The 26325-nt window shown below is 53.4% G+C and overlaps 1 long non-coding RNA gene across 1 annotated transcript, besides 8 other annotated features; it reads left to right on the top strand.

Moving 5' to 3' along the window:
• Positions 90-590: an enhancer, noted in NCBI's record as "H3K4me1 hESC enhancer chr2:241174911-241175411 (GRCh37/hg19 assembly coordinates)". NCBI's record gives its function as "activates a minimal SCP1, AML or CMV promoter by ChIP-STARR-seq in primed H9 embryonic stem cells {active_cell/tissue: H9 hESC(primed)}" and the evidence as "EXISTENCE:reporter gene assay evidence [ECO:0000049][PMID:30033119]".
• Positions 1837-2378: an enhancer, noted in NCBI's record as "H3K4me1 hESC enhancer chr2:241173123-241173664 (GRCh37/hg19 assembly coordinates)". NCBI's record gives its function as "activates a minimal SCP1, AML or CMV promoter by ChIP-STARR-seq in naive H9 embryonic stem cells {active_cell/tissue: H9 hESC(naive)}" and the evidence as "EXISTENCE:reporter gene assay evidence [ECO:0000049][PMID:30033119]".
• Positions 2321-2370: a silencer, noted in NCBI's record as "silent region_12508". NCBI's record gives its function as "represses an Ori minimal core promoter by ATAC-STARR-seq in GM12878 lymphoblastoid cells {active_cell/tissue: GM12878}" and the evidence as "EXISTENCE:reporter gene assay evidence [ECO:0000049][PMID:35858748]".
• Positions 2721-2930: a silencer, noted in NCBI's record as "silent region_12507". NCBI's record gives its function as "represses an Ori minimal core promoter by ATAC-STARR-seq in GM12878 lymphoblastoid cells {active_cell/tissue: GM12878}" and the evidence as "EXISTENCE:reporter gene assay evidence [ECO:0000049][PMID:35858748]".
• Positions 8399-8898: an enhancer, noted in NCBI's record as "H3K4me1 hESC enhancer chr2:241166603-241167102 (GRCh37/hg19 assembly coordinates)". NCBI's record gives its function as "activates a minimal SCP1, AML or CMV promoter by ChIP-STARR-seq in naive H9 embryonic stem cells {active_cell/tissue: H9 hESC(naive)}" and the evidence as "EXISTENCE:reporter gene assay evidence [ECO:0000049][PMID:30033119]".
• Positions 8899-9400: an enhancer, noted in NCBI's record as "H3K4me1 hESC enhancer chr2:241166101-241166602 (GRCh37/hg19 assembly coordinates)". NCBI's record gives its function as "activates a minimal SCP1, AML or CMV promoter by ChIP-STARR-seq in naive H9 embryonic stem cells {active_cell/tissue: H9 hESC(naive)}" and the evidence as "EXISTENCE:reporter gene assay evidence [ECO:0000049][PMID:30033119]".
• Positions 10248-10748: an enhancer, noted in NCBI's record as "H3K4me1 hESC enhancer chr2:241164753-241165253 (GRCh37/hg19 assembly coordinates)". NCBI's record gives its function as "activates a minimal SCP1, AML or CMV promoter by ChIP-STARR-seq in primed H9 embryonic stem cells {active_cell/tissue: H9 hESC(primed)}" and the evidence as "EXISTENCE:reporter gene assay evidence [ECO:0000049][PMID:30033119]".
• Positions 10749-11249: an enhancer, noted in NCBI's record as "H3K4me1 hESC enhancer chr2:241164252-241164752 (GRCh37/hg19 assembly coordinates)". NCBI's record gives its function as "activates a minimal SCP1, AML or CMV promoter by ChIP-STARR-seq in naive H9 embryonic stem cells {active_cell/tissue: H9 hESC(naive)}" and the evidence as "EXISTENCE:reporter gene assay evidence [ECO:0000049][PMID:30033119]".
• On the top strand, positions 17181-24682 carry LOC107985836 (uncharacterized). The gene is made up of 3 exons (XR_001739238.1): positions 17181-17358; positions 17456-17590; positions 24465-24682. It is a non-coding gene; the product is annotated as an uncharacterized LOC107985836 (long non-coding RNA).
• Positions 24683-26325: the final 1643 nt, after the last annotated feature.

Genomic DNA, 26325 nt, shown 5'->3' with positions numbered 1-26325 from the left:
TACTCCTTCCATTGTGAGCATGGAAGAAGGTGACTCGGTTCCAGAAGAAGCCATAGTGTCTTCCCATCACTGCAGCTGTGGCCAGGATCCCCAGGCAGCGAGGTGCCCAGCACTGCTCAAACTGCTGAGTACACCCCAGGTGACGCGTTGATAGAAGAGCCTGCACCTCACTCTGCGGAAAACTCAGCTCTCACCTGTGCTAACAATTTCAATGCAATGCGTTTCCTTTGCGATTCTATGCATTTTATTTTATGCACCTAAAAACATTATTCTGATGAGGGGTCCCTAACTTTCACTACCTGCCATGGGGCCTCGGTGCACAGGAGGTTAAGAATGCCTGGCTCAGGTATTGACCGGGCTCGGGGACCGAGAGCTCCTCGGGGACAGAGGGAGAATCAGAGGAAGAGTTGAGACCTGCCCAGACACAGGGCGGCCTCGGGTGGCGGCCACACCCTCGCCCCAACCCGGATCAGTTGCCCAGTCACCCAGCAGCAGGGCCTGTTTTTAGACCTGCTCCCAGGCAGGTTGCAGCTGGGGCCAGACAGGTACGGTGACCTTGTGAGGGGGTCACAGCACGCTCATAGGGGTCCACTGCAAGGAGAAGTGCAGTCCTTGGCCTGGGCCGGTGGGGTGACAGCAGCAGGGGCTCCAGGACTGGGGGTGGCCTGTTGAACCCCAGGTAGGTGTTCTGTCACCCCTGAGCCCTCACCTGTCCTCCCAAAGCTGGCCCTCAAGAACCAGCCTTCGAGGGCATGTGCCTGGGTCACGGGGTGTAGTCTCCACACTGACATGTAACCCAGCACCTGGGGCTCAGGAGGGTGCATGAGAAATGCCAGGAAGCCGGGGTCTGCAGCCCAAGGCCATGATGAAATCTCCTCACTGCTGCATATAGAGCCGCAGCCCAGCCATGCCCCACAAGCCCATTCTTCTCCCTCCTTTTAGGTCTTGCAGTGCTCTGCAGCTGGCCAGGACGCACAGGTGAGCTCACAGCTCACGGAAACCCTGAAAGCTAAGGCAACCTGGGGAAAGAAGTTACCAAGATTTCCTTTGTACCTTAGGGAATCCAAAAGCATTCTGTGTTCAGTGTTGGTGTCCAGGGTGATTTGGGGGATTTGGTGGCCATTTCCTGGGGTAGTGAGGGACATGCAAGAGCAATGATACGTGGACCTGCCATTCAGGGTGCAGAGATCCTGCAGAGGTCAGCTGGGAGCACCACCCCCAGAGGCCTGTGTCTGTGTGTGATCACGTCAGGCTGGGCACATTCCGTAATAACCAGCACCTCACTCATTTCCCACGGCTCATGGCTTGCAGGATTTTGCTCTCTTGACCTCTCCTCTTCCGATCCAGAGCTTAACATCCCAGGGCTGGTCATTGTGGTTTCACAGAGTCGGGGGCCAGCCTGAACCTGGAGCCATTTGCTGCAGGTGTGGGTTTTCCTTGGAGGCTGAGCAAGTCCCTGCTTACCCAGGCTTGCACCCTCTTGGAGACGTGAGCTCAAGCTCACAGGCATTGGTAGATGATGGCTCAGCCACTTCCAGACGGTGTGACTTTGGATAGGTCACCAAACTCCTCTGGGGTTCAGCTTCCCCAGCTGTAAATTGAGGCTGTGACAGTGTGTCCCGCATTCCACTGCACTGAGGACCAGGTGAGAGCATCACCAGCACACGTGGGCACCAAGCCTGGCACATGGGGAGCTCTGGTGCAGGCAGCACCTGCCACACTCTGCCCCAACCATGCCTGTGTGACCAGGGCACAACCAGAAGTAGCTGGGCAGGTGCCACCCAGAGTGCTGTGGACACAGTCACCGCTGGGCAGGCGCCCCAGGGTGGGTCCTAACCTTAGCCAGCAAGTGGGTGCCACAGGCCCAGGGAGAGCAACGCGGGGACAGCCCTCGTGTCAAAAAACCTGGGATGGTGTAAGACTCCGAATTGTTGTCCTGTCTGAAGAATGTTCCGTTATTTCTCACAACCTGTTTCCTCCCTGGCCACTGAACAGAGGTTTACTTTCCTTTAGGACTTGATCTGTGACCACAGTGCCCCGCTGTTAAGGTGACCAATGCAAACTGCAGAAGGGTGCCCCTTCCCCCCCAGAAACATCAGGTGCGTCCCAGGTCCTGCGGCACCCCCCGAGGAGGGAGGTGCTGAGGGCGGGGCTGCAGCCACGGAGTTGGAGGGGGGGACTGTGGGTGGGGCTGGAGGATCAGGGTGCTGTGGGCGGGGCCAGAGGAAAGAGGCACTGTGGATGGGGCGGGAGGGGCGAGGCACTGTGGGCAGGGCCGGAGGAGGGAGGTGCTGTGGGCGGGGTTGGAGGGGTAGATGCTGTGGGCAGGGTCGGAGGAGGGAGTGCTGTGGGAGGAGCTGGAGGGGGAGGCACTGTGGGTGGGCCAGAGGGGGGAGACACTGTGGGCGGGGTCAGAGGAGGGGGGTATTATGGGCAGGGCTGGAGGCGGGAGGTGCTGTGGGCGGGGTCTGAGGTGGAGGTGCTGTGGGTGGGGCTGGAGGGGGAGGTGTTGTGGGCAGGGCTGTGGGGAGGTGCTGTGGGGCTGTGGGCGGGGCTTGAGGGGAGAGCTGCAGCCGGGGAGGAGGGAGGTGCTGTGGGTGGGGTTGAAGTGGGGGAGGTGCTGTGGGCGGGGCCGGAGAAGGGAGGCGCCGTGGGTGGGGCTGGAGAGGGGAGGTGCTGTGGGCGGGGCTGGAGGTGGAGGTGCTGTGGGCGGGGCTGGACCAGAGAGGTGCTGTGGGCGGGGCCGCAGCCAGGCTTATGCTTCCCTGCTGCAGGGGTGCGCTGATGGGATGGGGGCGTCTCACCCCAGGTGGGGGAGGCCTGAGCTCGCATCATCCGGCTGCAGACCCCTGGGTGCCCCCTTGTGCCAGGTCCGTCAGGGGCACAGGCCCGGCAGCACGCTGACTGGGCGCCGGGCAGGCCCGGCCGGCAGGGAGGGCTCCAAAGGCTGATCCTGCCTGTATTTTAAGGCCTGAGTTTCAGAGCGGCCTCCGGGCCCTTTGCTGAGCTCCAGCGCCCCCTGGTGTCGGCGAGGCGGGTGAGGGAGACGCGCCTTTGGGTCTCGGGCCTGCCCTCCAGCAGCCCACACACACCCCAGGACCTGGAGGCCTCCACCAGCCCCACCCTGGGGAGGACATTGAGAACCTGGAACAAGGTCTATTTGGGTCTGAAATACAGAAATGTAAGAACGCTGGAGAAGCTGGGGTCTCCTCCGGGAGAAGCCAGGCCTCGGGAGCCCGCTGCTGGGAGCCCTGGGGGCAGAGCCGGCCGCAGAGCCTTCCGCACAGACCCGTCCTTCCTAGGAGGCTGGGAGCTGGCATTTTGGCTTTGGCTCAGAATTGCCCGCTGTGCCACGAGGGCGAAGTCCAGCCCAGCAGGGGGAGGGCTGCTGCCCAAAGAGAGGGACTGATGTGGTTCTCCTGGGCCTGCTAGTGTCGGATGCTCCTCCAGGGACTGTTCTCAAGGCCCAGGTGCATGTGGGGAAATCGGGCTGTCTGGAAGAAAGAGTGGAAGCCGCTCGCTAGAGACACGCCTCTGTGATTCTCCCAGAAAGTGTCCTGTCGGAGGCTCAGGACTTCCTAGTGAAGCAGCTAGGACAAGCTGGGCATATTGAAAGTCACGGGGACATAAACCTGCAGGCCTGGGTATGGCCATTGGGTATACGTTAAATTCTGTGGCACCCAGTCTAGTACAACAGCTTCCGTTTCAGGACAGACAAGGTCACCCTGTGGGACCACCCTTAGCTGGAGCACCAGTTCCCTTCGCAGCCTCCTGATGAGAAGTGATCTCTGAACAGAAGGTGCAGGGCAGAGCTGCGGGCGTGCAGGGCCCTTCTCCCAGTCTGTTCCCGTCGATTCCTTGCTGCTCACACTCAAGGGTCTGCGCCCAGCCTGAAGGCGCTGCCTGCCGCGGTCCCTCCTGGTCATCTGTCTTTGTAGATTTGCAGAACAACATAGCCTCACCTGTGGGAGAGGCTTCCCAAGCTTCACCTTCACTCAGCACTGTTGCGCAGTCCCCAGGCAGGTGGCACCTGAGAGAGGGTTCCAGGCTTGGCCACTGGAGGGTCCCAAAGGTGGCTGGTTCCTGGCCCCAACAAAGCCGACTCCCTGGGAGACAGATGAGTCCCTCCAGGGTGGTACTGTTGGTCTGTTTTGGTCAGTGACGTGCTCAGCTCCAGGGCCATGCCTGGCACAGGGAAGGTGCGTCTTCAGTACTGGGTGATGTTGGACGAACGCCTGCTTCCCTTTTTTTTTCAAACTGAGGTCTGCAACCCAGATGCCCTTGGCTACTTACTGACTGCTCCATCTGAGCAAGTGGCACAGTGCCACTCATCTGCATAGGTGAGCGGGGACTGGTGGGTCTGCTGCTGGCTGGACAGAATGTCTGGGAGGGGCTTTGAGCATCCTGACCACCTCTGCTCTCAATCAGGCTTGGAAGGCAGCGTGTAATTAGGTCACATGGAGCCTCCAAGGACCAGACACTGGGGAAACCATAGCTCTCTGTCTTGTGCGTTTCTGGGTGCCAAAGCCATTACCTCCTGCTTTTGGAGGTCCCGTTGCCAGTTGCCAGGGTGAGAGGCAGGATGGGTTCATGACTCATGGCATCGACATCCTCCGGCCTGTTAAATCTTTTTGTTGTTGTTGTTGTTTTTTGAGATAGAGTCTCGCTTTGTCGCCCAGGCTGGAGTGCAATGGCACGATCTCGGCTCACTGCAAGCTCCGCCTCCTGGGTTCATGCCATCCTCCTGCCTCAGCCTCCTGAGTAGCTGGGACTACAGGCACCTGCCACCAAGCCCGGCTAATTTTTTATATTTTTAGTAGAGACGAGGTTTCATCATGTTGGCCAGGATGGTCTCGATCTCCTGACCTTGTGATCCGCCCACCTTGGCCTCCCAAAGTGCTGGGATAACAGGTGTGAGCCACCGCGCCCGGCCCAGCCTGTTCAATCTTAATGCAGTTGGCAAACACCTGTTTTTAATTTCTGATTTTTAAGGGCCATTTCCCTGGAGTTCACTGTTAGGTATAATGTGGGGTGTTATGTTAAGGGATATTCATCATATTAAAACATAGTCTCTCTGCACCGTGACTTTTATTCTTCCAGTAAGTAGTAGGTGTCTATTTTTACTAAAAGCTTTTCTAGCGTCAGAGCCAGGGAGGTTTCCGTGGAGGTCCAGCCAACCCAGTTGGGGCCAGTTCCTTTGGTGGACACCCCTGCCCTTCCCCCTGGTGGAAGATCTGCTGACCCCTTAGCCAGTCCCTGGACCCCCAGCAGAGCTGGGCCTACTGCTTGGCTTCCTTCCATGCAGCCCTGGATGTCCCAGGGATGCAGTTTCGGTGGAAAACACACTGCCTTCCCTGCAGTTCATCCCCTGCTCCTGCTATACCGAAGCCCGTTTTTCACTCCACAGAATTCAGAATGGGGAAGACCTTCCCTGCCCCCAGGCCCCTTCCCTTCTTCACTTCTTCACAGTTGAATGAAGCCAGCTGTTTCCTTGCAGCTAGGGCCATCTGCTAAGACACACTTCCCCCTCCAATCTGTGTGTCACTTTCCCTCCTGAGACCCTGAGAGACATCCTGACCCTCCTAGTCTTCCTCTGTATCTGACTCCTCCTGTCATTCTGAAAGAGGGTGGTGCTCTCCCTGGGAACTCTCAGCACACCAGCCGGACCCCTCCGCTCCAGCAACACTCACTGTTCTGTCATTTCTGCTCTCCCTCCCTGGACCATCGCTGAGGCACCTCTCCCCTCTGCTGGGACCCCCAGCCTCGCTGTTCTCTGGCTGCGTCTTCTGACTGTTCCCTTCCACCATGGCTTTCTTGCAGCCCAGCCTCTTTCCCCATCGTCTTCAACACCCTTGCCAATTTTCCCCTCAAGTCCCCTGGGAACAGTCCATTCTTTATCATTCCAAATGTTTGTCTGAAAAAATATCCGACCCAACCATTGCAGTGGCATCCTGTTGTCATCCTTGCCATTAGCACTGGTACCTTTGAGACTGGTGACAAGCCACACCTCTACTGTCAGGTTGTCACAGGGCCCAGCCTCTCCACCTGCAGCTGCCACCGATACTTCCCACGTTGGCATCCAAGAAATGGGCAGGTGCAATATTCTGGAGAATCAATGTCCCATGCCTGCACCCTCACTGCTAAGGAGTTGAGGAAGCATGCATTTCAGATAGAGATGGAAAGATAGAGAGGAAAAGCTAAAAGAGGGTTAGCGTGGGAGCTGAGCAGATGATTTACAGAGTATGACACATGCAGTTTCACAATCATGTGTCTAGGTGGGGTTTTAGTTTTCTATGTTCTGCTCTGGCTCTCTTGTGCTTCTTGAATCTGAGGATTCATGTTTATCAGTTCTGGAAAATGTGCATGCATTTCCTCTGCTCCAGTGGCCAGCCTCTCTCTCCCTTTGGGACTTTGGTGATTTACGTATTGGTCCTTCTAGCTCTTGCATCATCCCTCTCACTTTATTCTGCCTCCTATCTCTTTATTTTCCCATGCATATTCTGGGTAATTTATTAAATCTATTGCATTCATCTGCTAGGGCTCCTCCAACAAAGTACTACAGATGGGGCAGTTTAAACAACAAAAATTTGTTTTCCCACAGTTCTGGAGGCTGGAAGTCTGAGATCAAGGTATCGGCAGGACTGGTTCCTCTGGGGCCTCTCTCCTTGGCTTGTCTTCTTCCTGTCTTTACATGATCACCTCTCTGTGTGTGTCCCAATCTCCTCTTATTATAAGGGCACTAGTTATATTGGATTAAGGCCCCCCCAAGACCTCACTTTAAATTAATTACTCCTTTAAAGACCCTGTCTCCAAATACATTCACATTCTGAGGTACTGGGGGTAAGACTTCAACATGAATTTTGCGGGAACACACTTCAGCCTAGAATGTCTATTTTCCAGTTCACTAATTCTCTCTTCAGCTGAATCTAATTTGCTTTTTAAGTATTCCACTAAGTTTCAATTATGAATACCCATGTAGTCATTTGTAGAGGTTTGTTTTGGTTCTATTTTGAATAAAATCTTATTTGCCAGGCATGGTGACTCATGCCTGTAAACCCAACACTTTGTGAGTTTGAGGCAGGAGGACTGCTTGAGCCCAGGAGTTCAAGACTAACCTAGGCAACATAGTGAGATCCCATCTGTACAAAAAAAATTTAAAAATTAGCTGGGTGTGATGATGCGTGCCTGTACTCCCAGCTACTTGGGAGGCTGAGGTGGGAGGATCACTTGAGCCTGGGAGGCTGAGGTTGCAGTGAGCCATGATTATACTCCAGCCTGGGCAACAGAGTGAGACCCTGACACACACACACACACACACACACACACACACACACACACACATCTTATTTACACAATCACAATCTGGTTCTCAGAATTTAGATTTCTTCATTTTGAAATGTATCTAACGCTTTCCTTTCTGTTTACTTTCAGGTCGTTTAGATTAAGTGCTGAGAGGTGTAGCTCTTCCTATACCTGGTAAATGCTGACCCCCTGAACCCAATCCCGAAGCCCCCATCCACATGCTATGGGGACCACATTGGGAGCCTGTGGTATGATTTTGCCTTTGTTTATGCCAGACACCTTGGGTTGACCTGAGCTCATGCTCAGCAAAGGGACTAAATGTTAACTTCTTAGCTTAGAATTCCATGTGGTATAAATCTGGATCCCTCATATGCTTAAAGGACAAGCCTGGGGTCTGATTATTTAGGAAAACTTTTTCCACCCAGAATCCATGATGTGCCCCTTCAACGGGTGTCATCCCCTCCCTGAGAGTCAGCCACAGCCAGCACCTCCTGGCCCTGGGCTGGAGGCACTGCACCGGCTTCCGGGGAGCAGCAGCTATGCCAGCTTTGCCCACACCGCCTGTTTCTGACGTGTCCCCCACTCTGCAGCATGACTCCCAGACCCCATCACACTCTACAGCTGGGGTATCACAGTGGGGTGGAGGCCCTCGCAGCACCCCCTCAGGAACCCAGAGGGTCCCCAGTTTGGAGACTGCTCAGGAAGTGGGTCCAGACCAGCACCTCTGGCTGGAAGAGCTGCGCCCAGCCTGGATGAAATAGATACTCGTTTGAATCTGTTCTACCAGGAAAAACTCGCTGTCTTCAAGGTGTCCATCTGTCTTAGATGTGGGGCTTCAGGCACATCAGATAACCTCTCAGGGCCTCCAGAAGCTCGCCTGGAAGGCTGCAATGATGGCTCCTGGGAGGGCGGGGACAGGTCTAAGTGGTGTGATTCTGGGCCAGGCCTGCAGTTACTGCCCATCAAAGGCAGGTCTTAGTATCTCCCTACTGCACCCGGCAGTGCCTCAAGGTATAGGCCCCTTGGAATGATACTCTTTATTTTTCTCTGCTGTTTCCTTCTTTCTTCAGCTGGACTACAGAAAGGCAGGCAGCCACTGCCTAGAGAAGGGTGAGGACTGCAGAGACCAAACAGCTCCTCCCATGTCCACATCAGCCCTGTCTGAGCAGATCCTAGAACGTAGCCTGCTTTGCCGCCTTCTCTGCCTGCAGCACTCTGCCTGGGGCTCCAGTCCAGTGGCATCTGTGTGGCTATAGCTCCCTGCCAAGTGTCAAAGAAGAGGGAGGCCATGTAACCTCCTGCCTCACCACAGCCTTGGGAGCTGCCCTGTCAGTGTCAGCACGTTCACAGTGCCAGTGCCAGCCCCACTGTCAGAAATCTCAGTCCCTGGCCAGGGACCTGCAGCACAGCTGGCCAAACAGCCGGACAATGTGGCTTCCCACCACGCTGCAGCTGTTCTGAGGCCCGCCTGGTGTGCTGGTGCCCTGGCAGGTGCGAAGGCCCCTGCTGGCCTCACTCCTACCCAGCAGCCTGCACTGGAGGCCTCAGGGGCTGGAGGTGATCACTCAGGGCCAGGCCTACTGTTCAGCCACATAGCACTGGTCTTGGAGGCCCAGGGAGGGCCTGCTTCTCTTTGCTGACACCCTCCACAAGGGGTGTGTGGAACTTGCAGACCTCCGTCTGTGACCCTGCCCACAGCATTCCTGTCCTGCTGTGGCCCTACCTCACTCCTTTCCAACTGAGAGCCTAGTCTCTCCTGGGGCATCTTGGAAACAGAGCCCTCTCCCCTGAGCCTGCATTCCCTGTCCCCCTCCCTGGACCTGCCTGCTGAGGGGCAAGGTGGGCTGGCAGGGGTGGTGCAGGAGCTGCAGGCCCGGGGACTCAGGCTTTTCCCAGGTCCCCTTGGACAGGCTGTTGAGGAGGAGAGCCAGCTCCTGCCATGACAGCCCAGCCCTGGAGGGTCCGTCTGTTCTCCAGAGCTGGTCTTTGGGCCAGTCCAGGTGGTCACCTCCACACACCACTTCCCAGGGTCTTTCTTAGTCTCCATTCAAAGCAGGGTTCTTTATAGTCCTACAGAGAGGATCCAACATCTCATAGGTGAGCTGTGCACTGCCCCTCTGCCTGATTGGCCCAATCCTGCCGAGAAATGAGGCAAGGAGCCCAGGAATAGCTGTTAACCACTGCCAACCACTGCTGACCACTGCTAACCACTGCTAAGCACTGCCAACAACTGCCAGCCACTGCTAACTACTGCTAACCACTACTGACCACTGCTGACTACTGCTAACCACTGCCCACCATTGCCAACCACTGCTAACCACTGCCAACCACTGCTAACCACTGCCAACAACTGCTAACCACTGCCAACAACTGCCAACCACTGCTAATTACTGCTAACCACTGCTGACCACTGCTGACCATTGCTGAACACTGCCAACCATTGCCAACCACTGCAAAGCACTGCCAACAACTGCGAATCATTGCCAACCACTGCTTACCATTTCTAACCACTGCCAACCAATGCCAACCACTGCCAACTACTACCAACCACCGATAACTACTGTTAAGCATTGCTAACCACTGCCAACAACTGATAACCACTGCTAGCCATTAGCAACCACTTCTGACCATTGCCAACCACTACTAACCACTGCCAACAACTGCCAACCACTGCCAACAACTGCAAATAATTGCCAACCACTGCTAACCGTTTCTAGCCACTGCCAACCAGTGCCAACCACTGCCACCTACTGTCAACTACTGATAACCACTGTTAAGCATTACTAACTACTGCTGACCACTGCCGACCACTGCCAATCATTGATAACCACTACCAATCATTGATAACCACTACCAATCATTGCTAACCACTGCTAACCATTGCCAACCATTGCTAACCACTGTCAACCACTACCAACCATTGCCAATCATTGGCAACCACTGCTAGACACTGCCAACAATTGCCAACTGTTGCCAATGACTACTAAGCACTGCCAACCACTGCCAACAAGCCATTTTCCTTGAGCAGCCTCAAGCTCTGGGAAGAGATGTGAGGTTTAGAGTCGGGGGAGAGTCCCCATCAAGGAGCGACTCCCCCGCCCAGCACCACCGCTGCTCTCATCCTTACCCTCCCTGTCTTTTCTACCCAGCCTTCCTTCTCCTGACTAGAAGCTCCTGGCATGCCTCATCTCGAACCCTCAGGACTGTTCTGAACTAGGCAGAAGTTTAGTGCTGCAGCTCAAAGCCTGGAGAGAACCCCATATCTGCAGAAGTGCCTCATGTTGAGGACACCTGTCCCCATCTCACCCAACCCTGGGTGAACCCAAGCAGGGTCAAAGATGGCTAAGTGGGCCCTGCCTCTGGAGCAGCCTATTTGAATGGGACACTGGGGCCCCTGCTGTGGGCATGGGATGTCCTCTCTTGGGAGGCTCTTGGCCTGGTCCTCTCCAACCCCCTGGGCTTCCTGGCAGGGTCGGCCATGTCTGGGTGGGGCTTAGCCCAGGAATGCTCAGGACACACAGAGCCTCAGGAGGCACACACGGGGAAGAGGCCTCCAGTAGACTGTGGTGTCCGGATAAAGACAGTTAAAGACACAAGGTCCAGGCAGGCCAGAATCGAGGTGATATAGTGTGGACTGTAAGATCCTCTGACTCCAGTCAGCACGGTTAACAAAAGCTGAATTTTCTGCACACTGACAAACAGGATGCCGCACGGGACGGCACTGACCTGGGTTTCCACCTTCCCCAATTCCTATCTCAGCAAGCCCAGCTATGGCACACACCTGTAACATTTAAAGGCTTTTTTGGAATCTCAACTGGGAAATGCATGACCATGTCCTCAAGATAAGGAAATACTGAGTTTCCAGAATGGCATTTTGCCGTCATGGTTTGATGCTTATTCATGAGGTTTCCAAGCAGTGACTGAGGGCTGGGCTGCAGTGCATAGCAAGGAAACTATTCCTTCCACTCTGGAAGCTGACGTTCCCATGATTTATTTTTGCAAGTTGCAGGCAGGCATTGCTAAAGGCAATAGGAAAAGTCTCCTTATTTTAGAAGGTAATAATCCCCAGACTTACAGGAAAGTTTAATTTTGAAAGTGCTTGTGGTAGCAAGGTGCTAACTCATGTGTTCAGAGGGGGTCCATTTTGATAAAAAACAACACCTATGTAGAGAAAGGCGTGCGTTCATCTTTTATGAACACAGAGAGACGTGAGGAAGAATAAGCAATGAAAAAAATGATTATCCCTGGAGAGGATGGATGAGGGAGGAGGAGCTCGGGGGTGATTTCTTTATACACCTCTGCATGATCCTTGCTGAGAAAGAACAAGAAGCACTATTTCTCATCTCCTTCCTTTGACGGGGATAAGATGATTTTCCCAGAGTTACACGGAGGAAGCAGAGCAGATGAGCAGTTCACCTCTTTCTGCTTTGCTCACAAGCATTAGTTGAAGTCCTACTGTCTGCACATCCCAAAGTGAGGCACCAGAGACACGCCCTACCCTCGGGTAGCAGAGACACAGCCAAGACCTCGAGCCTTGAGCTGGACCAGGATATATAGGTGCTTTCACATGATTCCCCAAGATGGTTTCCCATAAAAGTGTATCCTTCATACCACAATGCTCATCACAGAATGTCTCGCATACAATAAGACATGTTGTTTTTGACCTCCCATTTTCCAGATTTATTTATTCATTCATTTACTGAGCACCTGCTGTGTGCCAAGCTATGTCTACAGGGCAGACAGAGAGATGAGAGACTGCAGGGCAACGTGGCCAAAGCTCTGATGGGAAACTGCCCAGGGTGCTTTGGGACCACACAGAGGGGCTTAAAAATCCGGTGGGGGGTCCTGGAAGTCTTCATGGAGGTGCTACTCAAGTTGAGTTTTACAGACCAGAAGGAACTAACCAGACAGAGGAGTGAGTGTTCCAGGCACAGGGGCAGAGACACCAAAACTCAGAGGCATGGTGTGGCCAAGCCAGCGTCTATGCAGGTTCATGTGATTTCGCACCAGAGGGGCTGGCGGAGGCCACATCACCAAGGAAGGAGGGTGCCGAGGTGGGAAGTTGCTCTGACCAGGTCGGAGAGACAGGAGATGTGCCTTGGAGAAAAATTACCCTAAGAATGGAGTCATCTGGGTAGAAATGACAGATTTAGCACATACATTTACTTTCTTCCTTCTTCTCCCTTCTGAAACCCCGTGAAATGACAGTAAAGAGATTTTTCAGATGGCATAAACTCACAACTACAAAGAACATGGAGGAGAGAGCATGGTGACATTCTTACAGCAGGAGAGGGGCTGGGTACTGTACCCCTGGGAAAGTAGGGGTGAGGAAACAAAAGAAGTAACTCCAGAAAGTCCCCAGAGTGGAAAGGTAGCGGTTTCCAGATGAAAAGTTCCCAAAGTATCCAGCACAGTCGGTGAAAATATATTCACGTCAAGGCTTATGAGCTGAGGTTTCACAATGGCGGGCAAAGCAAGGCACCTAGAAGCTTCAGATCACAAACAAACAACTGGGAATTAGGATGATTTCACGTGTCTCAATGGCAACCTTAGAAGTTATCAAAGGAGCCATGCCTTCACAAGGCCGAGGGAAAACTATCTGCAAGCTAGAAAGATATATTTAGCCAAGCCATTGGCGTTGTAGCCTCCTGAGTCTGGCATGGCTGAAGATGCTGCTGCTGGACTCAATCTTCCTGCTAATAAAGGGAAAAAAGAAAACACTAACAAACTCTGGAAATAAGGCAAAAGAAAAAATCCCCAAAATTTGAAGGCACTGGAAAGTTAAATACATAAATAAACAAATGAGCAAGCAGAGCCTAGAGAAGGGGAAGTTTTGTTTTTGCTTGTTTTTCTAGCATTTATGCTGAGGGCAGGCCAAAGACAGCACTATGCAGGGTGGACACAACTCTGATAGAAAATCTCCAAAGGTTTGGAAACTAAATAATACACTTCTTAATAATCCATGGGTCAAAGAAAAACTCAGAAGGAAAATTAAAAAGTATTCTGAGCTGAATGATAAGAAGACAGAATGTATATAGCCCAGATGCCTGTATTAGAAAAGAAAAAAAGGTATCAAATAATGGCCTCAGCTTTCCCCTTAAGAAAATAGAGGCCGGGTAAGGTAGTTCACACCTGTAATCTCAGCAGTTTGGGAAGCAAAGGCAGGAGGATTGCTTCAGCCTAGGAGTTTGAGGCTGCTACTGCACTCCAGCCTGGGTGACCCTGTCAAGGAAAGGAAAGGAAAGGAGAAAGGAGAAAGGGAAAAAGAAGAAAGAAAGGAAAAAGGAAGGAAAGAAAAGAAAGGAAGAGAGGAAGGAAAGAAGGAAGAAAGGAAGGAAAGAAACAAGAAAGGAAGTAAATTAACTGAGAATAAGTAGAAGGAAATAACAAAGACAAGAGCAGAAATCGATAAAATATGATGTACACATTACAGAAAAGTAACAAAGCCCAAGATTGATTCCTTGACTAGATGAACAAAATTGATAAACTTCCCAGCTAGACTAATAAAAAAAATCAAGTAATCAAGCAAGCAAAAAAGAATATAAATTGCCGATTTGAGGAATGAGGAAGCAGCACTACAGATGCTATAGACATTAAAAGACTATCTAGAGATTTGTATGAATACCTTTATGCCTATAAACTTGACTTAGATAAAATAGATTTCTTGAAATATGACTTACCAAAGCTAATGCATGATAAAACAGAAAATATGAATGGCTATATACTTAATAAATATATTTATTTTTAAGAACCTTTCTATGAAAACATCTTCAGGACTATATGCTTTCATCAGTAAATTAAAAATAAGTTTAGAGATAAGATAGCACCAGGTTGACACAAATTCTTTGAAAATACAGGAGGAAGGAAGCTTCTGAACTAACCCTAACCCTAACCCTAACCCTAACCCTAACAAGGCCAGCATAATCCTAGTGCCATAACCTGGCAAAGATGTCACAAAAAAGAGACAATTTTAGACCAATATTTCTCATGAAAAATTTTTTAAATATTCTACAAAGTATTAGTAAATTTAATCTAGATATATTATATATTTATATTATCTATATTTATAAATAATTTATATAAACAAATATGTATATGTATCTACATATAAATACATCTACACATGTACATTAAAAAATACTCTGTAAAATATTAGCAAATCTAACCCCAAAAAATATATATGTATATATTATAAATATGTTTCACATATATACATGAAAATATAATGTAATTGAAATGGCTTAACATGTAGAAATCAAGCAATACAATACTGCAAAATAAAGCAGAAAAAACAAATGATCTTTTCAATAGATGCTAAAAAAGCATTTGACAAAATTCAACCCATATTAATGATAAAAACCCTGAACAAACTAGGAAGAGAAAGGAACATCAATCTGATTTAAAAAAATTACAAAAAAGCCATACTTACTAGGGAGTGAATAATTAGCTACTTAATAGTGAGTGAACAATTAAATACTTTCCCACTAAGATTGGGAACAAAACAAGATGACTTTTCTCGTCACTTCAATCCAACATTGTAACAAGGGTCCTAGCCATTGCAGTAAGTTAAGAAAGAAAAATAAAAGTCATTAAGCTCCAAAAGGAAATAAAGTTGCCTTTGTTCACAAACAACATGATTGCTTATATAGAAAATCTTAAGAAATATACAAAACAATCAATCAAGCTACACAGTGAATTTAGCAGACTCAAAGGATATAAAGTCATTGGGCAAAAATAGTTTTTTAAATAAACTAGCAGCAAACAATTGGAAAATGAAAATTTAAAAATCCATTTACAGTAGGATCAAACATATAAAAGACTTCAGATTAAAGTTAACAAAATATGTGTAAGTTTACTACACTGAAAACTATTAATATTGAAATCTTGTTAATGCTGTGTGTGCTAAGGTGTTTCATTTGGGGAAGTGTGCTGACGTCTGTAATTAATAAACTGGGTTAATGGACAATTAGAGGGCTGGATAGGTGGATAGATACGTGAGAAAGCAAATATAGTAAAATGTTTCTGGTAGAATCTCAGTGGGTGTTCACTGAATATTTGAAAGTTTTCTTAACAAACTTGAAAAAAAAAAAACGAGACATTTGCAGATAAGCAACTTCTTTCAAAAAAACATGCTTCTCAAATACCAGCTCTCAGTGAATGTAGGAGGAGGTGCTCCTGCAAAGCAACAGTGAGTCAGGAAGTGAGAAGCAGCAGAATTAGACAGGAGTGGGTGAAGGGAATCTCCAGGAGACAGGGAAGGGAATTGCCAGGAAAAGACCTGCCCTGAGGGCGGCCAGAAGGCTCAAGGGAGATTCCTTCAAGAAGGTGAAATTAATACAATATCTGAGAGGTTTGCATGAAAATTTAGACAACTGGTGGAGAGTTTGAGGTTGAATTCGTGACATATACAAAGAAAATCTAACACACACAAACTCCAGGAAAAACACAAACAAAAATGTTGTGCAAGAGAGGAAAACAGCATCGTACATGCTACGGCTCAACTAGAAATAATATTTACATGTCTTACAACGAAGAAACAAAGTGCTGATCTAGTCAAGTAATGACCAAATTGAGAGAATGGAAGGAGAGCAGTGTGCGTGTGTGCGTGTGTGCATGAGTGTGTGTGTGTGTGTGAGAGAGAGAGAGAGAGAAAGAGAGAGTGACAGCATACCTGTGTATGTGAGGGGCATGTGCAGAAGAGCTGCGTCCTTCACCTTTCATAGTGGACATCTAGAGAGAATGCCTAAAACCAGTCAGTAAGAAGTAGCAACGTATGCAGGGTAAATAAGGAGTTAAATGGCAAAAGGGCCCTGCTAACACAATGGAATTTAGGGGAAGGGAGGTAGGAACTGTCATTTTCACAAGACTTGTAGAACTGTTTTCTTCTTTAAACTACATACATGTCTACTTTGCTGAAGATGGAAACAGACCAACCAGCTGCTGTAACCTCTGCCTGCTCCTCGGATGAGGGAGGATGGGAGCGAGGAGTTCAGGGAGGATGGGAGCGAGGAGTTCAGGGAGGAGGCCACTGGAGAGATCAGGCAAGAGATGACGGCGACGACCTGGGGTGTTGGCAGGAATGGAGACGGGACAGAGCAGAGCACCTGTGGAGGCCAGATTCCATGGAAATTGGAGTCCGGGCTGAATGTGGGGCACACATGAGAAGGAGGTCCAATAAAAAAAGGATTTGCTTAAACAAACTCTGGAATATCCAGAATGAGGGTGCTACAGTATGAATGTGTTCCCCTTAATTCCCATGTTGAGATTCCAGCCCCCAGGGTGATGGTTTTGGGAGGTGGAACCTTTTGGAAAGGTCAGAGTGGGTCATGATTGGCCCAGATTGGGTCATGAATGTGGAGCCCTCGTCGGGCGTTGAGTGACCTACAACAGAGGTAAAGACAGACCCCTTACCCCTTCTGCCATGTGAGATGCGAGAAGACAGCATCCATGAACCAGGAAACGGGTCCACATCAGATACTGAATTCTGGCACTCACTGTGGCCCAGGCAGGATCCAAGAGCGTCGCACACGTTCTCATTTAAGACTGAGCTCTGTGTATTTCTGCCCAGTGGGGCTTAACTGCACCCTCACTGAAAGTTCAATTTGTTGTTGAATGAATGAAGGAATAAATGAGCCTTCCCCTTTTGATTGAGGAAAAAACAGCCTCAAAGAAGGTAAGACACTCACCTGAAGTTTTGTGCTTTAGTGAGTGACGCAGAAGGACCTTTGAGCCAGGCCCTTGTGGTTCCGAACCACCCTTGGGCTGCCCCACCAGGATTCTGAGCTAGAGAGTATGGTTTTATGCATAGACTCACCAGAAGCTGAAATCCACCTTCCTTGGAGGTTGCAGTCTGCATTTCAATATTGTTTTGCTTTTCTAGTATTCAAAAATAATCAGGGAAAATGTCTGCATCTAATTTTTTATGTTCTGTCTAGGCAGGAATGTATCCATGTCTTCTACCACGGGGGCCAAGGGTGTTTCCTCTGCGGGGTTTATCTGTCTACGGAACTGATTTTGCAGCTTGGAGCAGGCAGGTTTCCATCACCTTACTCAAAGGTAAACCATGAAGGAAGAGCTGGCGGAAACACCCCAACCGGGTTGGGGATCTCTAGGGGAAGCTGCGCCTCTTCCTAACAATCAAGTTTTATTTTAGTGGAGGAAACAGTGATCTTCACTGCCTGGTTTTGATGTGTGACTCACAGAACTCAGGAGTCAACATCACCTGAAGGAAGAGGATATGGAGCATAAACCTGTTTCAAGTTATTCTTTTCAAAAGAACAGGGTAGAGGTGAGTGCTGAGAGGGGTCCGGAAATCCATGCTATGCTGGAGGGTGGAGGACAGCCCCTGAGATTTTGCCCCCCTCCTGGTGTCCTCCTCAAGTGAAAAGACACAGAACCTGTGCAAGTCACCACCTGGCAGTGTGGGGCTTACAGATCCTGATCAGCCTGAGCTTTGGGAAAAGCCACCTGACAGGTGCACCTGAGTACCCCACTGGGCAGAGAACTGCGAGGATGGCGGAGGGTGTCTCAGAAGAGCTTCCAGCTCTGGTGAGGGATCCCTCCAGTCACACCACCTGTCCCCATCCCATGCCTGTGCTGGACATCACTAATCCATCGAGGCACATGCCCCAGCACACGGCAGCCCCTACTGTAGGATGAGCTCTGCTGCCATTCTGGATCTAGAACAGCGCAAAGCTGTGAGCCCTGCTATGGGGCGTCAACCTGCACTTGTATGGTACAAGCCTTCTAGGGCCTGAGTCACTTGAATTGTGAACCCCGCGGGTCCTGGAAGGGGCCTCGGGTCAGCACAGCCCCTCACAGGTGGGATCTGAGACCCCGTGAGCAACGGGGACTGAGATCAAGGCCACCGCCCAGTGCCCGTGTGGTTGGACTACAGCAGGTGCGGAAAGGCGGTGCATGCTACCTGTTTGCAGAGCAGAGGTGGGTGGTGGGTGGAGCTGGCAGAAGTGGGTGGAGCCAAAGTGGTAAGTGGGGGAGGCAGAGTGGGTACAGCTGATGGTGGGTGGAGATGGTGGAGATGGGTGGAGCTGAAGGGGTGGGCTGAGCTGGTGGAAGTGAGCTGAGCTGAGGGGTGGGTGGAGTTGGTGGAGGTGGTCAGGGCTGAAGGGGTGGGTGGAGTTGGTGGAGGTGAGTGGGACTGAGGGCGTGGGTGGAGCTGGTGAAGGTGGGTGGAGCTGAAAGAGTGGGCGGAGCTGGTGGGGGTAGGAGGAGCTAAAGGGGTGGGTTGAGCTGGTGGAGATGGGCAGAGCTGGTAGAGGTGGGTGGAGCCGGTGGAGGTGGACGGTGGGTGGAGCGTGAGTAGAGTTGCTGTCTGACTGCAGTCTCCTAAGGGTTCAGCCCCACCTGGAGTCCTGTCCTTGGTGCTCCTTGGAGATGGAGGCTGCCTTTGCTCAGAGCCCCTGGTGACCCAAATACCATGGCACAACATTGCACCCTCCCACCCATTTTCTTTCCTGACCTCCTTCAAATCCCAACCTTAAAGCTAAGCCCTAGCCCTGACCCTGACCTCTGCTTGCCTGAGTTTCTGTTGGCAGAGACAGCCTCAAAACCCCAGGCCTCTAACCTCCATCTTCCCCTTAGGAGCATGAACTCCACAGCCAGGAGGCGCCACCTCACCCAGGGGCCCCAGCACCCCCATGCTCTGTCCCTCCACCCCCCCACCCCTCACCCTGCATCCACCCACACCCCGTCCCTCCACCCCACCCCACCCACCCCTCACCCTGCATCCACCCCACCCCCATCCTTCCACCCCACCCCACCCACCCCTCACCCTGCATCCACCCCCACCCCTGTCCCTCCACCCCACCCCACCCACCCCTCACCCTGCATCCACCCCCACCCCCATCCTTCCACCCCACCCCACCCACCCCTCACCCTGCATCCACCCCCACCCCCATCCTTCCACTCAACCCCACCCACCCCTCACCCTGCATCCACCCCCACCCCCATCCTTCCACCCCACCCCACCCACCCCTCACCCTGCATCCACCCCCACCCCCATCCTTCCACCCCACCCCACCCCACCCCCACCCTGCATCCACCCCCACCCCCTTTCTCTCCACCCCACCCCACCCCCACCCCTCACCCTGCATCCACCCCCACCCCCATCCTTCCACCCCACCCCACCCACCCCTCACCCTGCATCCACCTCCACGCCCAGCTGTCCCACTTCCTGGCTCTCCCACCTCCCCCTGCTCCCCAGGTTCCTGCACTGTTCCCCTCCCCTCAAGACCCCCTTGTTCTGTGCACCTCCACTTCTGCCTCCCTGCAGGGCAGTGTCTGACTGTGGAGAGGTTGCTCATCTCTGTGAAGTGGGGGTGCACAGGGACCATGCAGCTCTCTGAGGCTGGCAGTTGCAGTGCAGCCCAGCAGGTGAGCGTGGGTGTCTGCTGAGGCTGTCCTGCCTAGTAAATCTGTTGGCGCATTTCAGAGGAAAGTGCCGTCTGCTTCCTATGTACCCTTTTTCTTGGGTCGTGTCTCTGGTCTGGAGTAGACTGACCCCCCACAGGCGTGGGGATCCGGCTGGCAGGGCTACAAGAGGAAGACGGGAATCTGATGCCACCTGGCTGAGCTGTGCTCAACCGATCCCAGCCAAGACCCCAAGAGGACCTGCCTTAGGGATGCCCACTCCAGCCCCCAGCCCTCTCAGGTCAGGAGGCAGACCCCTGAGGAGGAGCTGATAGCTCTGAGACTCACCTGGTCAGTGGCGGGCCCAGGATACAGCTCTGGCCCTCTCTGGTGATGTGAAGCTTCCTTTCTGTTCTGCACGATTGTTCTTCATGAGCACAGGGTCTTGCTGTGTGGTTCCCTCCCCAGAGGAGCCGAGGTCAGACCAGCTCACCGTGCACCCCTCACTCAGGGCAGTCTTGAGGGCCTCTGGTGGGTGCCTGGGGCCAGCCTGAGGCCTCCCCGGGGCTGCCCCTGCCCCAGCAAAGGGCTCCGGACCAGAACCAAGACCTCTCCTCGAGGGCCAGGGAGGCCCCAGCCAGGCTCCATTCCCTGACCATGTTCCCATCGAAGCTGGCAGGGATGGCTCAAGGCCGTGACATGCTACTTTGCTGATAGCCATGAGTGGCATCACTGTCACCTGGTTTTTCAGGCAGGGGAACTGGGGGTTCTGACAATGATGCACCCACATCACACTCTGGAACCTGCACTCGACCACCAGGGCTCCGTCTGGACACTCAGGGGTTACATAATGGTGGGGGACTGGGGTGGTCCTGGAAGGGAAGGAGCAGCTGCTTAGGGTCTGGGGCAGGATTCTGGGCCCTGGTCCTTAGGAGGAGGGAAGGGGACTAGGCCGAAGGATGGGCTGGTGCAGTGACCAGGGGCAGGGCCAGAGCCTGCGGGATGGGAGCCCAGAGGGAGACCTGGCCTGCCTGATTGCCAGGCCTTGCCGGGGGAGGGTTGGTCTTTTCTCCAAGAGTCATGGGTCCTGACCCGCAGGAAGGCGGCACACTGAGTTGGAAAGAGTCTGCGGGGAACCAGGGTACCAGACACTGACGCTCCCACCAGGCCTTCCACCTGCTGCACAGCTGTGCATGAACTGGGCGCCCGGCCCACACCCAGGGCCCGAAGCGGCTGCAAACCAGACCAGACAGAGGCCATGGTTTCCTGGGCCACAGCTGTGAAACACGTGTTCAGGTTAACTGTCCGAGCTCACAGTCCAGCAGCAACCCGGCTTCCCCAGCTTGGTGCTTGGAGACCCGGCCAGAGGCGGCAAGCAAGCTGGGAGCCATCTTGTCAGGCAGTGAAGGTGCCCGAGTCAGCTGGTGGACTGTGAGGCCAGATCTGGGCTGCATGGCCTCCGAGGACCCTGCAGTGCCCTCTCTCATATCCGGGGGCACCCTGGAGTTCCTCCCCAAGGACGTGCTTGAAGCTCCAGGCCCGTCCCGGCTCAGATCCACCATGGGCTCCGCATCTGTATCTAGTCAGGAGGCCACAGCCAGGGGTCAGCCAGCCTCTCTCTGCCTAGTGAGAAAAGGAAAAAAGCTTTTATCCAAGGAATGTAGTCTTTTGACACTGTCAGTCCCAGAAAGACGTTAAGATGAGACAGCAGTCACATCCTCTCCCGCTTTGAGCTGTGTGTCCACCTCTTGAAGCTGCTTGTGACCGCTGCAGCAGCTGTAAAGTAACCTAGTAATGCCACACTGGACGCTGTAACTCATGCCCTGTAGCTGAACAGTGGATAGCCAATCACTCACCAATGTGGTTTCCGTAAGCCAATGGGAATTCCCAACAAACAACTCTCTGTCCCCCTTTTTCGTCTTTAAAAACCTGCCTGTAATAAAGGCCGAATAGGGCTCCTATCCAAGCTGCTTCAGTCCGAGTCTTCCAGGCAGCTGCCCTCACCTCAGCTCAAGTCAATCTTTCAGCTACATTTTATGCCTCAGCCTCTTCCTTTTAGGTGGTCACCAGCATCCCTGCAGATGGGAGCCAGCTGCGGCTGTGTCCCGAGGCAAGGGCAGGCAGTGCCTTCAGGCTGGGTGAGAGGGGACATCTCCAGGCAGGCTCCTGCTCTCAGGCCGAGCTGGCCAGCATGGCTGGAATGCTGATGAGGAGAGCAGGAGCTGGACTCACTGAATGCTAATGAGAGGCAGACAGCACCTCCGTGCATGGCAGGCCCGCGCCAGGCCGCTCTGAGGGATACCCTGGTCAGTACCCCAGAGGTCATGTCTGGGTTCTTATCTGTTGAAAGACTGGGAAGTGGCTGTTCGTTCAAGGAGCTGGTCGTGTGGCCTGGCCCGGGATCCTGTGCTTGCCTGCTCTCTCACAGCACTGGTGAACGCCCACGTGAGCGGTGTATTCCTGTCTACACAGCAAGCAGCCTGTGAGGGGTGCATTCATTTTTACACAGTGAGCGCCCTGTGCTACGTCTTGATCACTATCCAAGCGGAATTCTGTGCCCTCCCGACTGCTCAGTCAGACTCAGCATGGTGAACAACCAGCTGATCGAAACAAATCACATCAAGGTCAGAAGCAGGCAGCCCAGGTGCCCCTGCTGCAGGCAGGTCTGTGTAGCGGGTTTACCATGCCCCGGGCTCCATGGGGCCAGGTGCTGGGAAATCCAGTGGCCTGGAGAGGAGCCCCCAGGATCCCCCCGGAGAGGCTCAGAGGGGCTGGGGGGGCTTGGAGGGGCTGGGCCTGGCTGAAGAACCACCCCCAGTGGCCCCTTTACCACTCCCAGTGACCCCTTTGCTGCTCTCTGTGTCCCCCCTTCCTGGTCTTGACAGTCCCTGCATGTGTTGGGGAAACATCTGGATGCACGAACCCCAATTCCTTTTGTCCTGTAAAACCTCAGACTTCTGTCATTAAGCCACGCCAGTGACACCAGCCATTACCTCCTGTGAGGCATGCTGGCCACGTACAGCCGCCTCCCGGGACGCAAGCCAGTGCTCTCTGCTGCAGCTCCTTCACATGTTTCAAAATGAGGTCTGGTATTTCAAGGACTAAGGCTCCTTCACCCTAGGCCAGTCCCCATAGGCCTTGGCTTATGGGAGCAGAGGGCTCGGACACAGCACTAGACCCAGATCTGGAGACAGAGCTGGGAGCAGCCTCCTACTCCCTGGTGGGCAGGATCCCAGGTGCAGCTGCCTAGCAGCTGGGGACCCCAGGGGGACAGAGGCCCAACTCTCCCTCCCTTGGACACACTGGGTCCAGGAATAGCAAGACCCTCCCCTCACACAGGGACAATATTCTCACAGGCAGTTTTTTTAAATCTGTGAGCTGAAATCATGCCAGGTGATTCCAGTTGACTGGGAGTAAGGTTGGAGCGTTCTCCCTACCCCCCTCCTGTGCGGCTAAGAGGGTGCTGACCGTCTCCCCTGGGCCTGGTGACCAAGCCAGCCTTGTCCACCCTGAGCTCCGGTGCACCTGTCCGGGGGAGACAGCAGGCTACCCTACGGCCCACTGAGGGCTTGCTTTGTTCTGGGGCGAGATCCCTGAACAACTTCTTTTAATAATGGAATTGTTAAGGAAAACACACATCCATTACTCTGAGTGAAGGGAAAGACTAGAACTTCGGAGAGCAGGGGGTGTCCTGGGGGTTTCCCTGAGAAACGCTGCTTATCCGAGGTCATTCTCTCGAGGGCATGGGGCTGGGTGGGGAGGCTGCCGTGCTGGACACATTGGCCTGGAGATCCGGAATCGTCCAGGAGCCAAGGGCAGAGACCCCACGGCTTCCCTGTGGCTGCCCCTCTGGAGCTTCCAAGTGCAGGTTGTGGTGGATGGGAGCCCCCGCCTCAGGGGCGGCCCACCCCAGGAAAGGCCCAGCCTCCCTGCAGGACCAAGGGAGGTCCTGACACTGGGGCCTGAGGCTGCTGGCTGAGGCTCCAGGCCCTGGCCAGGCAGGTGTGGCTTGGAGAGTGGCTCAGTACCGAGCACAGGTGCAGTTTAACCGCCTATGATGAAGCTTCTCCTGGGCCCAGGGATGAGCAGGGAAGGGGAGGGTCATTCAAGCAGATACTCAAGAAACGGGGGCCCAGGTTTGGCTCTCGGGATGCAGCAGCTTGTTGACCCCTGACCCAAGGCACTCCAGGAGGCAGGCCAGGCTGCCTGGGGTGGCCACTTTGGGAGGGACTTACTTTTTCCCACTGTGACCCGGGGGCTATTCCTGTGGGGCCTCAGGAGGACATCCCCATCCACACCAGCCACCTCTTGTTTTCCAGAACCCCATGAGACCCTCTTGTTTTCCAGAACCTAAGGTCCCTGGAGAGCCAACTGGGCCCTGCAGAGAAGCCCCCCCGGCAGGGCACAGCCACATCCTGGGCTGGGTGCAGCCGCGCGTGACTTTCTGGAAGACTCTCCTCCCCAGCCCTGGCCTTACTGCCCTGGGGAGGGAGGTGGGCGGCTGCCTGCTGAACATACTCCACCTGTCCATTTCAGCAGGGTCAGCAGAAACGCTTCCAGGAAAATCAACCCAGCCATCTCTGCCACACTCTGGAACCTAGGGCATAGGGCCGTCAGCCTATCCGGAGGTGCAAGTACAGCTGTCAGCCTGTCTGGAGGTGCACGTCACCCCTGGGCAGCTTGCGGGGGGACAACTTGCTCAGAGCTGGGGCCAGGTGCCCTGCTTGCTGCCCCTTCTCGTGTCCTGACAGCCGGGCACAGGCACCAGCTCCTCCCCTTTCTCCTCTCCCCAGGGCTTTGCCTGGTCCTGAGTCAGGAAAGAAGGTGAAAAACAGGCAGTGGGGAAGACCACTGCAGAGGCGAGACCCACACCACACCCCCTGCTGGAGTTTTAAGGACAGAGTCCCCTGCATTCTTGGGCCCACAGGACCATGGTCTCACCCCTCTCTGCATCTCTTTGGAACCCTTCGTCTCTCATCTTCAGAACAGTCACTGCTTTGTAGTGGGGCCTGAACTCTTTGGTGGAGAACCAGGACGAGGGCACCTCTGTGGCCTGGGTACCACGCCTGACTGTGCCCTCCTCCCCTGTGGCCAGTGACCCTCACTGCGTAGTAGTGGAGCCGTCCTTGAACCTGGGAGGAAAGGCCAACTCAGTGTTCCAGGAGTCGCTGGCCCCTTGCTCCAGCCAACCACCCCACACCCCCACTCATTGCAAACGTATGGGAGGGGCTGCTGCTATTGGCCCCACCTGTGCCAAGGAGAAAAAGCAGAATGACACTTCACACAAAGTTTCGAGAAGTCATGCCAAGGTCAATGCAAGGATATGGAGAAGAAAATACTGGCTAAGACTGGAAATTCAAGGGGGGACCCCTCTGTCCATGAAATGCAGATTCCTGCAAGGGGTGGGGCCACACACTGCATTCAGCAAGGGTTTCCAATCTCCACCCAGGGACGCTGTGTAGACTGAACATCAGGCACGTGCATAAACCTTCCTTTTCAGCCAGAAGTTTCCTTCTACTTTGCTTGGGGCCAAGGCCTCGAGAGTCACGGCTTCCTCACCTGTCTGTTCTTCCTCAGAAGGTCGCTGCAGACTGCCCCCACCCCTGTGCTCTGTGCCATTGCCACGAGGGCTGAGGGTCCCCTCAGCAGGCAATAGGGTTCCACGGGGCCCCATCTGGGGGCGTGGCTGGCTCCCCAGGTGAGCCGGTGCATGCTGGACACAGCTGTCTTCTGCTGCGGCCAACAAAGGTCCCTGGGAGATCAGGCCTGTCAGTGGGCACAGACCGAGAGGTACAGTCATCCCCTGCCCCACTTAGTACCTGCCTAGTATCCCACACCCCTGTGCCTTCTGCCCTCAGCCCTGGGATCCAGAGACTCAGGCTGGCCCATAGTGCAGGGAAAGGGGAACCTCAGTGCACCAGCCCTGCCCTCCATAGAGAACGGGGCTGGGGCGGGGCTGCAGTGAGGGCTGTGACGGGATCCTGGGCAGCAGCACCAGAAGAGGTTTGGGTGCCATGAAGGGGTGGTTGGATGGGGGCACAAGGCCCCTCGCGGGGTCAGCTCGGGTTTTGCCGAGCACAGACACACACGGGCAGGGTTTGCCCAGTCAGTCGGTGAGCTAAAACAGGCTGCACTAGGCACTGAGTAGGGGCGGGGTGGCGGGGCTGTGGCCACTTGGAGGTCTGCTCAAGGCCTGGGGGCCTGGAAGGTAGAATCTGCATAGACATGGGGACAAGTGGGAGCAGCAGAACCCCCCAGAAGGTCAGGGGAGAGCTGCCCCAGAGGGTCCTGGTGGAAGCTTAGACTGTGGGCACAGCACCTCAGGAGCAGGTTTTCGGATGTGTTTTCTCCAGATACAGCAGGTGTATATTTATCAAAACTCTTCGTATATTTATTTGAAAAGGTATTTGTTGATCACTGTCTCTCTTGCTGCAGCTGTGAGAAGTGCTATGGAGGGGAAGACACACCTGTGAGGACAGGTAGGTAGCGCTCACCTTCATGGCCCGCAAAGGGAGACATGCACTCTGGCAGGTGAGGCTCGGGAAGAGAAGGGAAGCACCTTCCGATCAACCTCCGGGGGTGCCTGGCATAGAACAGAAGACAACTAAGCAAGAATGCTGTGGCTTCTGCTCAGCACTTAGGTCAGACTCCTGG

Source organism: Homo sapiens, chromosome 2 (assembly GCF_000001405.40).
Source record: "Homo sapiens chromosome 2, GRCh38.p14 Primary Assembly".
NCBI classification, from domain to species: domain Eukaryota; kingdom Metazoa; phylum Chordata; class Mammalia; order Primates; family Hominidae; genus Homo; species Homo sapiens.
This window is presented reverse-complemented; position numbering and strand designations above follow the sequence as displayed.